At 43.2% G+C, this 14194-nt stretch overlaps 2 annotated features.

The window, feature by feature from the left end:
- Positions 205–254: an enhancer, noted in NCBI's record as "active region_28889". NCBI's record gives its function as "activates an Ori minimal core promoter by ATAC-STARR-seq in GM12878 lymphoblastoid cells {active_cell/tissue: GM12878}" and the evidence as "EXISTENCE:reporter gene assay evidence [ECO:0000049][PMID:35858748]".
- Positions 205–725: an enhancer, noted in NCBI's record as "H3K4me1 hESC enhancer chr9:122318186-122318706 (GRCh37/hg19 assembly coordinates)". NCBI's record gives its function as "activates a minimal SCP1, AML or CMV promoter by ChIP-STARR-seq in naive H9 embryonic stem cells {active_cell/tissue: H9 hESC(naive)}" and the evidence as "EXISTENCE:reporter gene assay evidence [ECO:0000049][PMID:30033119]".

Here is a 14194-nt window from a genome sequence, read left to right as displayed (position 1 = left end):
CCTGTGCATCTCTTGATATGTCTGGGTTTGTTTTTCTGCTCCAAAGAGGCTGCCCTTTGGCTCCAGCCAGTCCGTCTGCTCCACAACATCTCCCTCCGTCCCTGGGCCAGGCTTTTCCTGTTTTGCTGGCTGGAGGAAGAGAAGCTCGCGGGAAGCCCCAGGGTCTGGTTCCCATAGGCCGGTGTTCCTTTGCAGGCAGCCACCACGGCACCATCCAGCCGGCTTTTTGGAAGCAGGTCAACGTCCCTCCCAGCAGATCACCCAGCCTAGCTCAACCCAGAAGTAGATGTGTTTTCTTTCACCACGCGCTCGCCTCTTGCATCTCGCGGCTTAATTGGCACTAATGGGGGTGGAGGCCGCCTTTGGACGGCTTCCCGCAGCTGCCCTCTGCTGGTCGGTAGCCGCATTGGCGGCTGGAGCCTGGGGACCTGGAACTGTGGTTTCCGCCTCAGAGCCTGTGGGCCTGGAGACGCGTGTTGGCCACAGCCGCCCTGAGACTTTGGGAGGGTTATGATAAAAGACCTTATTACCAGTCCAGGCACACCTAACAGCCCCAATGTCTCCCTCCTTGAATAAACAGATACAAAAATGCCCTCATTGTGTCTGCTGGAAAAGCAGGGGTTATTCAATAATTAGCCTGTGTGAGCTGGGTGTGGTGGCAGGTGCCTGTAATCCCAGCTACTCTGAAGGCTGAAGTGGGAAGATCACAGGAGACCAAGAGTTCAAGTCCAGCTTGGGCAACATAGCAAGACCTCGTCTTTAAAAAATAAATAAAATAAAATTAGCCTTTCACTTCTTTGGGCTGCAACTTTATCATCCGTAAAATGGGCAGTGCAATGGCATCTATCCCATTAGGTCCTTAACCAGGAGTGGTGGTGTACACCTGTAATTCCAGAAGTTTGGGAGGCCAAGGCAGGCAGGTCACCTGAGGTCAGGAGTTTGAGACCAGCCTGGCCAGCATGGTGAAACCCTGTCTCTACTAAAAATACAAAGATTAGCTGGGTGTGGTGGTGGGCACCTGTAATCTTAGCTACTTGGGAGGCTGAGGCAGGAGAATTGCTTGAACCTGGGAGGCGGAGGTGGCAGTGAGCCGAGATTGTGCCATTGCACTCCAGCCTGGGCCACAGAGGGAGATGCCATCTCAAAAAAAAAAAAAAAAAAAAGAAAGAAAAGAAAAGAAAAGAAAAAACCAAAACGACAACAACAACAAAAAACATTAACCTGTAGTCCCAGGTGGTGTACCTGTAGTCTTGGGAGGCTGAGGTGGGAGGATTGCTTAAGTCCAGGAGGCCAAGGCTGCAGTGAGCTGTGATCATGTCACTGCACTTCAGCCTGGGTGACAGAGTGAGACCCTCTCTCAGACAAAAAAAGAAAGAAGGAAAGAAAGGAAGAGAGAAAGAGAGAGAGAGAAAGAAAAGAAAAGAAAAGAGAAACACATTAGGTCCTTGCGAGGCTTAGTGCAGAATGTCTGTAAGGAACCTCACCCTCACCTCACCTGCCACACAAGGAATACCAAAAAAAGGTGTCTGTTATTATCAACAATGATGCTGTTCTCATTGCAGTGGGAGCCAGTGATGACACGAGCGGGTCTTTTCTATAGCATCATGGTGGAAGGCCACGTGGAGGAAATGCTTTCCAAGCTGGCTTCTGCTGGATTGCTAGGATTTAACAAATATTTGTGTACTATTGCAATGTGCCAACTATTGTCCAAGAAATTATAGGGGTATAGAAGTGAATAATTTGCTGTTCCCAAGTCAGAATAACTGCACTAAACTTGAAATAATGTAAAGAACTTTTATATTCAACTGAAGCATATTTTTAAAATAATGATAACCGTCTCATGTTTGTCCAGTGTGTTTCAGGTCTGAGTCCTGTTCCAGGCTCCTCAGAGAGATAATGGATGTGAGCACTATAGAAAATAGACAGCTTTCTGCAAAATTAAGGTGATTCATATTGAGGGGTGAAGTTTGTCTATATCCCTCATTGACTAAACAAATCGTTTGTGCCTGTTAGATTGATAAAGACGATCACAGAGCCATAGCACTGTGGGCCTTCAGAGCTAGAAGATACTTTATCTGCTTCTATTTCCATTCATTGCTGTCTGCAGAATACCTGTCAGGTGGGAATCTATGCTCTGTTTGAATGCTTCTGGGGATGGGGCACTCACTTCTACCCTAAGTAGAGGTCTATCTGTCTTTACATAAGCAGATACATTGAGTGTTCTGTTTTCTCTCTTACTGGCTAAATCCAGACAAGTTATGTTAATTTTGCCCCTAAATATCTCTCAGCATCCTCATCAGTACTGCCTCTGTACAAATATCACTTCCATTGCAATTATAGTCATTTTCTAATTAGACTGCTAGCTTAAGCTTGCCCCTCCCTCTTCACCCCAATCCACTCTCTATGTTACTTTGCCACATGCGAATCTGATCTTGAAGTTCCGTTTAAACCCTTTGCCTTTCCCCTGCCTAGAGAAGCTCATCCTCCTTAGCAAGGCCTATGCTGTCTTTAACAGCCCAGCTCCTAGTTGCTTTCTGCAGCAGGGGTTAGCAGACTGTGTCTCATGGACCAAATAAAACCCACAACCTATATGTTCCATGAACAAAAAACATGGTTTTGACATTTTTAAACATAAAGTGCTAAACAAACCATTATACTTTTGGAGAGAATAGTTGCTTAAAAAGTTAAGGACGCTGGCCCTTGGCCCACAAAACCTAAAATATTTACTATCTGACTCTCTATTGAAAAAGTTTGGTGATACCTGGAGAATCAGCTCCTAAGATCCCTACACACTTGACTTTGCAGCAAGCTGGCGCAATTTGCCAAACTCCAAGTATAACATGCTTTTACACAGCCCTGTCATTCCCTCTGACTGACATCCTACCCTGCCTGCCTCTGTGATAAACTCTTACTTTTTAATGATGATGATAATGATGATGACAATGGCTAATGGGTGTTAAATACTAACTGTGTGCCCATCACTGTTTTAAGTACCTTACACGCATTAATTCATTTAATACACACAACAAGCCTATGAGGGAGCACAATTATTATTTCCATTTTACAGAGAAGACTAACATGCCAGAGATAAGGTTACTTGCCCAAAGTTACAGAACTGCGAAGTGGCTGAGATGATTCAAGACTCAGCTGTGCTGTTTCCTGGAAAGCCTTCTCAGAACTCATGGAGTGGGTTTGCTGTTCTCTTTCCTTGGATAATGTAGCACCTGCCTGGATCATAACATAATCCCTAGAAGGTTGCCGCTATCTGTGTCAGTGACCTCCTTCCCACCCAGGTGGTGACCTGCTGGGGCTAGGAGTCTTATATTTTGCATTTCTGACATTCTCCCTGGCACGTATTCTTAGGCCCCAGTGCTATGGGTGCTGAAAACACCATTCAAGTGAATCAATTTGCAGGGCTTCTTGCAGGTGACCCTAGTGGCTATTTTAAGAATACGTTAACAGTGTGAGCCTACAATAGGCGTTGTTGACTGATATGGTTTGGCTCTGTGTCCCCACCCAAATCATGTTGAATTGTAATTCCCAATGTTGGAGGGGGAACCTGGTGGGAGGTGATTGGATCATAGGGGCAGATTTTCCCCTTGCTGTTCTCGTGATAGTGAGTTTCACAAGATCTGATGGTTTAAAAGTGTGTGGCACTTCCTCCTTTGCTCTCTCTCCTGCCACCGTGTGTGGATGTGCCTTCTTTCGCCTTCATCCTTCTGCCATGATTGTAAGTTTCCTGAGGCCTCCCAGTCATGCTTCCTGTATAGTCTGCAAAACTGTGAGTCAATTAAACCTCTTTTATTCATAAATTACCCAGTCTCAGATAGTTCTTTATAGCAGTATAAGAACAGACTAATGCATTGACTCAAGAGCAAAGGATATGTCAGGACCACAGAACTGAAAACTCTTGCTGTAAGACTTGATTGACCTAGGAGTGGTGGAGATGGTATAGGTTTTTCCAGGGTTGGGCTCCCTGAGAAGACTGGAGATTTAAGCCAGGAAAGACCAAAAAACCAGTTTCTATAACAGTAGCAAAAAGAGTGACACCTCCATGCAGGGGTGTTATAAATTTTCTATATGATAAAGAACACTGTAAGATATGAAATGCTATTTAATTGTTATACATACATATATATAAATAATACTGCTAGCTTTAGGAGTGGGGGATAAGTCATAGGAAGGTGTATAGAAAAAATATATTAGAAATTTTTATCCCTGTGGCTTATCATCCTGGGTCTTGAGAATCTCTTCTGTCCTTAAGTCTTAGGATCCCAGGATAAAAGTACAGTAGGTATTTCAGTCCACATTTAAGAACCACAGATGATTAAGGGATGAAGAAGCCTTAATGATCATCCAGTTCAACCCAATGGAGAGAAATCCTTAGGCAAAATATTACCTTAAGCAAGAAGATATTCTTCCACCAGAAAACACTGGAGCATTTTGCAAGCCTTGTGTAAAGGGTATATCTGGGTTGTAGGGACACTTGGAATCTGGGACTTCACTTAACAGAATTGCACCTTTCTTTATGTCTTTCATTTCTGCATGCCAGTTCCATTAGATAAACTGCTGGCTTCCTCTATAGGGCCGTGGTTCCTACCACTCATATTTCATGACTACCACCTGAGAGAGACTGAGACTCTTCCTTTCTCTCCCTTTAGTTCTGATAAGAAAATCCCAGGGAAAAACTCTGAATGGCCTGGCTTATATACAAGGTGTACTTCTGGGCCAGTAGCTATGGCTTGGGGCTAGGGCCAAGCATGGCCACCAGCATTCCACCTCTGTGTACCGAGGTCATTCCCAAAGTGAGAGAGGTGTAGAGAACTTGGTAGCTGCTTCAGGTGGTATCCACTGCAAAAGATGAGAAATGGGGGCCCAGGGAGGTAGTTACATGCTCCCCATCCAGAAATATCCATTTTTTTTTTTTTGAGACAGAGTTTCCCTCTTGTTGCCCAGGCTGGAGTGCAATGGCACGATCTCGGCTCACCACAACCTCCACCTCCCAGGTTCAATCGATTTTCCTGCCTCATCCTCCCGAGTAGCTGGGATTACAGGCATGCGCCACCACACCCAGCTAATTTTATATTTTTAGTAGAGACAGGGTTTCTCCATTTTGGTCAGGCTCATCTCTGACTCCCAACCTCAGGTGATCTACCCGCCTCGGCCTCCCAAAGTGTTGGGATTACAGGTGTGAGCCACCGCACCCAGCCTCAAATTTTTTAATAGAATCTGGGACTAAGGAAGCCTGTTTTCAGTCTTGGGTCCTCCTTTTAGGAAGAAAAATTATAAGAGACCTCCCACAGGCTAGTTGTTTTATATTCAATTCTCAAAGCAACCATATGAAGTGGTTATTTTTACTCCCATCTTACATGCAAAGAAATAGAGGTTTAGGAAGGTTAACTAACCTATGCAAGGATGCATGGCTGGTGAAGGTCTAGCCTGGGAAGAGAAATGAGAATCTGGGTCATCTGGGCTCCCGAGCCCTTGCTCCTTTCTTTACACAATGTAACCTTCCAAAAGCTAGAAAGTGATTACCCTTTTGGGTATTGGCTCCTTCTATGAAATTAGATCTTTTCCAATTTAAAAGTTCATCTTTTCTGATTTAATTTTCACACTTTTTTTTTGTTTTTCTCAGTCTCAGAAGACATGTATGACTCTAAGTCTCTGACAATGGACACATTCCCTATTATTACAGAGGAAGCACACTCTTGTCCTGTGAATTTCTGGGAGGGGAAGTAGTGGGCTAATCTCTTATTCTCGGTTTATGGGGGTTGGAAGGGGTATGGGTCTGATGCAAAGAAAACCCAGGATCTAAAGACAAAGCTCTTAGCGTAGCTTCCAGGTTAATCTCTTGTGTAAACGTTGGCAAGGTACTTCCTCTTCTCGTCTCATCTTCCTCAGTATCCTCGGCTACTAAAAACGAACAAAAAAAAGAAACAAAAACAAGAACAACAACAATAAAACACCAAAAGCTATACTACCTTACTTCATAGCTTCATGAACTCTGTAGTTTGGCAGCTAAGGAATCTTTTTAAAACAGTTCATGTAAGTGAACTTTTAGATTTAAAAGCTTCCCCTTCCATGTTCTTCCAAGTCCTTGGTTTTCTTATCTGTAAAATGATAGAAGTTGGACTAAACACTTTGCCTCCTTCCACCTCTCAAATTCTAAGCCTCTGGTTTCTTTATTTTTATTTTTTATTTTATTTCTATTTCATTTTTTAATAAATGGAGGCTTGTTCTGTCACTCAGGCTGGAATGCAGTGGTGTCATCATAGCTTACTGTAGCTCTGACTCCTGGGCCCTAGTGACCCTCCCACCTCAGCCTCCTTAGTAGCTGGGACTGACTACAGGCATGGACCACCAGCCCAGCTAATTTAAAAAAAAAAGAAGTGTGTGTTTGTGTGCGTGTGTGTGCGTGTGTATAAATGAAGTCTTGCTATGTTTCCCAGGCTTGTCTCAAACTCCTGGCCTCAAGCAATCCTCCTGTCTTGGCCTCCCAAGTTGCTGGGCTTATAGGTGCAAGCCACCGCACCTGCCAAACCTCTAGTTTCTATGTCCGTGAAAATTCATGCCCAACCCTTGCCTTTCCCACATTGCCCCTCACCATACTTCTGTGGGGATTCCTGTCCCTGTGCAGTCACCTGAGCTGTTCCCTGCCCCTCCCCTGCTTCTCCCTCCTCATCATCACAGTGACTCGCTCACCCCCAGCACTCCTAGAGATAATTCCCAGCAGCAGCCTCTCTTCTCTGGGTTCATAAGATGGCCACACGCTGGGCTAAATAAGCTGCTTACCAGCATGGGAAGGGGTGGCATTTAGAGTGCCATGTCTTTTTGTAGCTTTGCTTTAAAGGGAAGCTGATTTGGGAATGTATTTGGAAGATGTCCCTAATTTGGTGCTTGGAACTCCATGAATGTCGGGACAGAGGGAAAGAAGTTGCACTATTTCTACTGTCTCCTTTGGTGCTTGTCTAACCCTTGAGAAGTATTTTATCATCTCCTATGCCCCTTGAAAATGATTTGGCTCCCTCCAGAGCCTAGCCATGTCCATGCTGGCAAGGCCTTGACACTCTGGACAAGGAGTTAGAAAATCTGATTGGTGATGTGCCCTTGGTGAAGTCATTTCACTTCTCATAGCTTTGATTTCCTCTTTCATAAAGTAAAGCAATAATAACTGCACTGACTAAGATATTCAGTTATAATAATCTGACCCAGTATATACTGAGTGCTTACTATATGCAAGGCACTATCTAAGTAGATCTTTATGCATCATCTCATTTAATCCTTATAATAGTTCCTGGATTGAAATATTGTTACTAATATTTTACAGATGGGAAAAGTAAAGGTCAGAAAAGTGAAAGAATTCGCCTAATTTAGGAAATGTCATATTCTATAATACAAACCCAGTTCTGCGTGACTCCAGAGCCAAATACTCAACAATTACACTATACTATTGAGTTATACTAGGTAGATGATGTTTCAGTTATCTATTGCTATGAAACACACCACCCAAAAACTTTGTAACTTCAACAACAACCATTATATTATGCTGTGGATTCTATAGATAAGGAAGTTGGATGCGGCACAGTGCGGATGTCTTATCTCTACTTTACAATGTCTGGAGCCTCAGTTGGGAAGAGGCTTTTTGTCTGGCTGCTGGGCTGGGATGACTCAAAGGATGGGCTCATTCTAGAAAGATTGACCAGAGTGCCTACCCTGACCTTTGTATATGAATTGGGCTTCCCCACAGCATGTTGACCTCCCAGGTATTCTAACTTTTTACACGTTTATTCAGGAACTCTAAGAGTGAGAATTCCAGTTAAAAAATAAAAGTAGAAGCCACGTGAACTTTTATGAGCTAGTCTCAGGAGTCACATGGTAACACTTCTTTCTACTCTGTTGGTCAAAGCAGCCAAAAGTCCATGGGTAGGGACATAGACTTACTTCTCGATGGGCTGAATTTTTTTTTTTTAATTGCTGTGGTCACGTTACCAAACCACCATCAATTAGATCACTGTCAGCTATGCTCACATTGCATCAGGGTAGGTTGATGAAGACTGAAGAAACTGATGGGATCACAGCTAAAGAGAGCTCATTAGGTATCACATTGGCCTAAAAATGAGCTTTCTGAGAGTCCAAAGTATAGTGGCCAAAAGAGTGGAGAAAACTCAGTCTTGCTCTGAGCTGTTATTTGTGATGACCTAATCCAGGGTTTCTTATAATGCTGCAGAAGTTTCCAGGCAGTGGTCATGGGCAAAGCTAACCAGGAAGAAGATTATGATGATATAATCTTGTTTTCTGATTATAGATCATGGTTGAGAGCATGAGCTTTGGAAGCAGACAGACACAGGTGCAACTGCAAACTGTTTCCTAGCTTTGTGAACCTGAGCGAATAACTTGACCTTTCCAAGTTTCAGTCACCTCTTACGTGAAATAGAGTAATGAAAATAGTACCTATCTCACAGGGCTCTTGTGAGAATTAAATGCAAAAGTGCTTAACATGGCACTGGAACATGGTAATCACTTAAAAATATTAGTTGTAATTAGTCATTTATTCAACCCCTTGTTACATAAATATGTATTGAGGACTTACTATGTGTCAGCCAAGTGCTTATTATTGTGGCTATTCAGACATTGTCTAAAAGAGTGTTTGGAGCAGCTCTTTAGACAGAAACTGAGAGTTCAGAAGAGAGGTTGAGCTGAAAGGGAAGTAAGGGAAAGAGGCTGAGGTTCAGAGAACCAAGCTTGACAGCCAGTTGTATAACTGTGGGGTAGGGAAACCCTATGGGGTAGGGAAAGCCAAAAGCTCTGTTTGGACACCTGGGTACCCAGGAGTCTCCTTAAGTGTATCAGCAAGACCATTTCCCATTTTCTGGGGTAGATGAACCTAATATGGAAGGACTTGGATTAGGGTTTTCATGTATCTGCAATGATACTTGTCAATGCCTACCACTGTGTGACTGATGGGTGGGGGCAGGGGACAGGGGCAATGCTTTCCTCCTCAGAGTTGTGAACCTCAAATGGGACAAAGGGTTAGAATGAGCTTTGCAAATAGGGAAGGTTTTGACAGCATTAGAAGGGCAATGGGAAAGATGCATAAGCTCTGAAGCTGGCTATGCTCTTGGTAGTTTTCACGTTTCCTTAATTTGTTATACAAGGAAATAAGCAGGATCTGAAGTCAGACTTTCCTATTAGCTGTGATAACTTTGGAAAATTTTTCTTTTCTCTAAGCTTTGGCTTTTCCATCTATTAGATGTGAATAATGATAACAATAACTACCTTCACTGGTACAAGCCTTAAATAAAATTGCCACATAAATCTTCCAGAATTGGTGGGGTCTGAGGCTGGATTTCTAAAAAGGAGGCCAGGAGTCAATAGAAATCAGTAGGTGAAGAGGACTTGGGGAAACAGTTAGGCACCAAGCTTTGATAACCTTCTTGATCTTCTAATAAAAAACCCAGCTTGTCCTCTCTCCTCTGATGCTGACTTTCCATTGTATTCTCTGTCTGGGTACACTCCCAAAAAAGAGAAACCAGAAGACTCTAAGCCTAGTGGCAGGAGGATGGAAAGGAAGTACTCTGGGCTGATTCTCTATGAAACCGTGACATAGAGTAAGCCCCCTTTTTTTAACTTTTAAGTTCAGAGATACATATGCAGGTTTGCTATATAGGAAAACTCATGTCACAGCCTGTATTAGTCTGTTCTCATGCTGTTAATAAAGACATATCTGAGACTGGGTAATTTATAAAGGAAAGAGGTTTAACTGACTCACAGTTCCACATGGCTGGGGAGGCCTCACAATCATGGCAAAAGAGCAAGGAACATTTTATATGGCGGCAGGCAAGAGAGAGAGCATGTGCAGGGGAACTCCCCTCTTTAAAACCATCAGATTTCATGAGACTTATTCACTATCAAGAACAGCCCAGGAAAAACCTGCCCCAATGATTCCATTATCTCCACCTGGCCCCACCCTTGATACTTGGGGATTATTACAATTCAAGGTGAGATTTGAGTGGGGACACAGCCAAACCATATTGCAGGGGTTTGTTGTACAGATTATTTTGTCACCCAGGTATTAAGCCTAGTACCCATTAGTTATTTTTCCTGATCCTGTCCTTCCTCCAAACCTCTATCCTCTGGTAGGCCCCAGTGTCTGTTGTTTCTCTCTATGTTGATTCTTCAAAAACCTAAACACAGAATTACCATTCAACCCAGCCACCCTTTTTTAAAGTGTCCAGGGATTCCTGTGTTAGAATCCCCTGATGTACCTATAAAAAATAGAAATCCCAGATCTGCTCCTGTTAGGGCCTCTCCACTCCTTTATTTTGCTTCAAATTTTCCCATAACAATTACCATCTGGCATTTACTTATTTTTTATTGTCTGTTTTCTCTGCTTCTGTCCTGTCCCTGAAAGTAGGAACTTTTCTGCTGCTGTGTCTCCAGTCTGTAGAACAGTACTTGATGATAGGAAAATAAAAGAACAAATGAATGAATAAATGGGTGAGTGAGGAATCTCTCAAAGTGAGTCTTCAAATTAATTTTATCTATGGTCATCACAGGGGATTCTTACACACCCTCAAGTTTGAGAACCACCTTAATCAACTTTGGTTGTTTCTTCCACTCCTTCCTCCTTGAGGGTCTTTTCTCAAAATTTATTTGTTTATTATATATCTTTAAGGTATACAACCTGATGTTTTGATATACACAGTGAAATTACTACAGGCAAACAAATTAACATATCCATTACCTTCCATAGTTATCCATTATTAACTATAGTCCTCATGCCATGCATTCAATCACTAGACTTATTCATTTTATCTAACTGCAAATTTGTACCCTTTCACCTGTTTCCTTCCCCGCCCCCAACCTCTGGTAACCATAGTTCTGTTTCTATTTATTAGACTTTTTGTTTGGTTGTTGAATTTGCTTACAGAACCAAATTACCTAGGGGAGATAATAGAGTAAGCAGCTCTAGGATGGATACCTATATCTGATTCACCATCAGCCCCCACCCTCTGTTACAGAGATGAAAGTGAGGGATAGGCTCTCGGTTGGTATGATCTGATGCTAGGAGTCTCTTAGACATGGACGTCTCACAACTGGGTGCCTGGGGTGTAGGAGTCAAAGCAGCCTGCCTACAGACTCCACCTTCTGCTCAATTTGACTTTGGCCTGGCCTGCCTGACTCTCACCCTATTAGACTTGAAAGGTGGCCTAGCTCTTGACCAAAGGAGGCACAGCCTCAATGCCAGGAGGATGATGGAGGGTTCAGAACACTGGAGTTTGCTTCCTGAGCCGAGTTGCCTCTGGGTTGGGAGGAAAGATTCAGCTTCCACACCTGGGAGGGAGACTAGGGCATCAGGCTGACCAGCATCTAAGGACCATGGAAATAGATGGTGAGTTGAGGTCTCACTGGGCACACCAGGGCCTGAGGAAGACAGGGTAGGGAGCTGATGTTCATGGCATGCCTATTACCCTGTTGTTTGCGTATCATCTCTTCTGGTTTTGAAGGTTTCACGAGTCACTTGCTGTGTGACTTTGGGCAGTGACTTCCCTCTCTGAGCTGCCTCTGTTGTTTCATTAGTAAACTGGAGGTGATAATGACATCATCTCATAGAGGCCATCATAAGGATTTTGTGAAGATCAGAGGACTCTACCTGGCATATAATAAGCACCAGGTATTTGCTTCTTTCTTTTTTAACTCTTTAAATTCCAAGAAGTTTAAGGGAACACAAAGGAAATCATCAGATGGAGGAGGGTGGCTGCTGTGGGAGGCAGAACATGCAGCTCCAGGGCCAGGAACTGAGGGGAGAGACATGCTCACGGGAATTTCAGAACCACTTGACTTAAGAGGCTTGAACTAATCAGTCCCTCTCAGCTCATCACAGGGCCTTGCAATCAGGGCTCCACCTGCTCACCTGCTGCTCTATTCTTGGGGAAGCCACCGAAGCCAATCACAGGGCATTGTTCTTCCAGCTCTGCTCCTTGGAGGAGATATCTGGCCCACAGGGAGAGCCTGGCCAGGGCAGAAGAGAGCAGGAGAAGAGGATTCACAGAATCCCAGATTTGGGGTTTAGAGCTGGACTGCCTAGGGCAGCACCTTCAGTTCTCTCGTGGCAATAAGGAGGTGATGTGACTTGACCAAGGACATCTAGAAAGCCAGAGTGGAGGGAGAGGAATTAGGAATTTGCCCATTTAAATTTATTCATTGGCTCAATAAGTATTTCAATTCACTCAATATGTACTGTATTTAAATTCAGTCACTTAGTAGTTAAATTCATTCATTTATTCATCTATTTATTCAATAGCATTTGTTCATTGCCTATTATGGGTTCAAGACCTCTAAGGCCACATGCAGCCACACTTAATTCTTAATCCTGTACTCTTTCCAATGCTTCAGGCTTTCTCCTTTACAGACCCAGGCATTCCAGTGGTAACTTACTCGAATCCAGACTGGGGGCATGGAGGAGTTCCTTTTGCCCTTCCCCTCCCCACATCTCAGTCTTAGATTCTCAAGCCCTCAAGCCCTAGAAATTGCTTCAGACACCAGGAAAACAGGGATCTGATTGGAGTCAGTGGAATTTAGTTTATTTGAATTGACTTCAACTGAATGAAATGGAATTACTAAACTAAATGGAAATAATTGAATTGAAATATAGCAAATTGGATTGAATCGAGATTAATTGAAATGAAATCAATTGAGAATGTATTGAATCATGGTACTGGAAAAGGTTTAGACATTGCCTCCCCAACCCTACTCATTGTGCAGTGAGGCAACTAAAGCTTGGGAAGTGTGGGGTAGGGTATGATGGAGGGTCAATAACTTTGACAAGGTCAAGAAAGTGGCAGAGCCAGGCTTCAAAGCCAGGCTATCCGCCTCCTAGGCCAGCAACTATCCCACCATGTATACTTCCGGAATTGGTGGGGTCTGAGATTACATTTCTGAACAAGAGGCCAGGAGACAATAGAAATCAGCAGATGAAGAAAACTTGAGGAAATAATTAACATGCAATTTTAATAATCTTCTTCACCTGCTAATAAGCAACCCAGCCTGTCTTCTGTCCTCTGAGTTTGGCTTTCCATTGCATTCTCTGGGCCCACTGCAGGCTTGACCCTACCCTGATATCCTAGAGAAATCCATGGAAGGAGCTTCAGGCCAGCCACAAAGTGACTTTCCATTACTTTGGCTTAATCTCAGTTTCCACTTTTAGCCTTATTCCAGTAACTTTTTTGTTGTTGTTGTTGTTTTTCCTTTGCAATCAGGCCCCTGGTTGTGGTGGGTACACAAAGAAAAAGAAACCGGAAGACTCTGAGGCTAGTGGTGGCAGAAAGATGGAAGAAAAGTTCTGTGGGCTGATCCTCTGTGAAACTGCATTTACTTCAAGGAATAAGGATATAATGTAGATGATGACCCTTCCTAAATTCCTAATTATAAGATCATTGTGCCTGAAAGTCTGTGTTAGTGCCATTCCTTCGGTAATGTTTCAAAAAAAAAGTATTAAAACACACATATGTTAACTGGGAGAGATATCATGTTTAATATGCACCTCGTAGTATGATAATCTTATCCTATCGACTATTTAACACCAGAATGAAGGCTTGTGGTGGGGTGCAGTGGAAAGAAATGGCTTGAAGAGAAAAGTTGGATCTGTGGCCAATGTTATTTTTAAAAGTTGGTATAAATTGCTTTACCCAGAGATTTAAATCTGCAAGTCTCTATAACGAGCAGGCATTATTCTTATGATGAAAGTGTTATGTAATAACATGAGTCTGGATTCCTAACAAAAAGGCAAATAGTAGCCCATTTACCTCTCTTGCCCTTCCCTCCCCACAAGTGGTCACAAATGATAACCATTGCTCAAGAGGAACACATGGTTTCCTAAATAATCTTCCTAACAACTCTGGAAGGTAAGGCAGGCACCCTTGACCTCATTTTACAGAGGAGGAACTGAGCTCAGAGATCTTCAACAATTCACCTTAGGTCCTGCAGTAAATCAGAAACAAAGCGAAGAGCTGATCTCTATTCTCAGCTCACCAAATCCAGAGCTCTTTTAGTATTACATGCTGGCAATTTTACAACTGAAATAGATTTTCACACCCTCGTTCCTTGTTTGTGCGGGATGGGAGTGGCAGAAGTCATGGGATGGGGACCTTGGAAAGCTAAGGATGGCTCCAGTCCATTTCAAAGACTTGAGCCG

This window comes from Homo sapiens, chromosome 9, assembly GCF_000001405.40.
Source record: "Homo sapiens chromosome 9, GRCh38.p14 Primary Assembly".
In the NCBI taxonomy this organism is placed as follows: domain Eukaryota; kingdom Metazoa; phylum Chordata; class Mammalia; order Primates; family Hominidae; genus Homo; species Homo sapiens.
The sequence above is the reverse complement of the archived record's forward strand: the minus strand, read 5'-3'. Positions and strand labels throughout refer to the sequence as shown.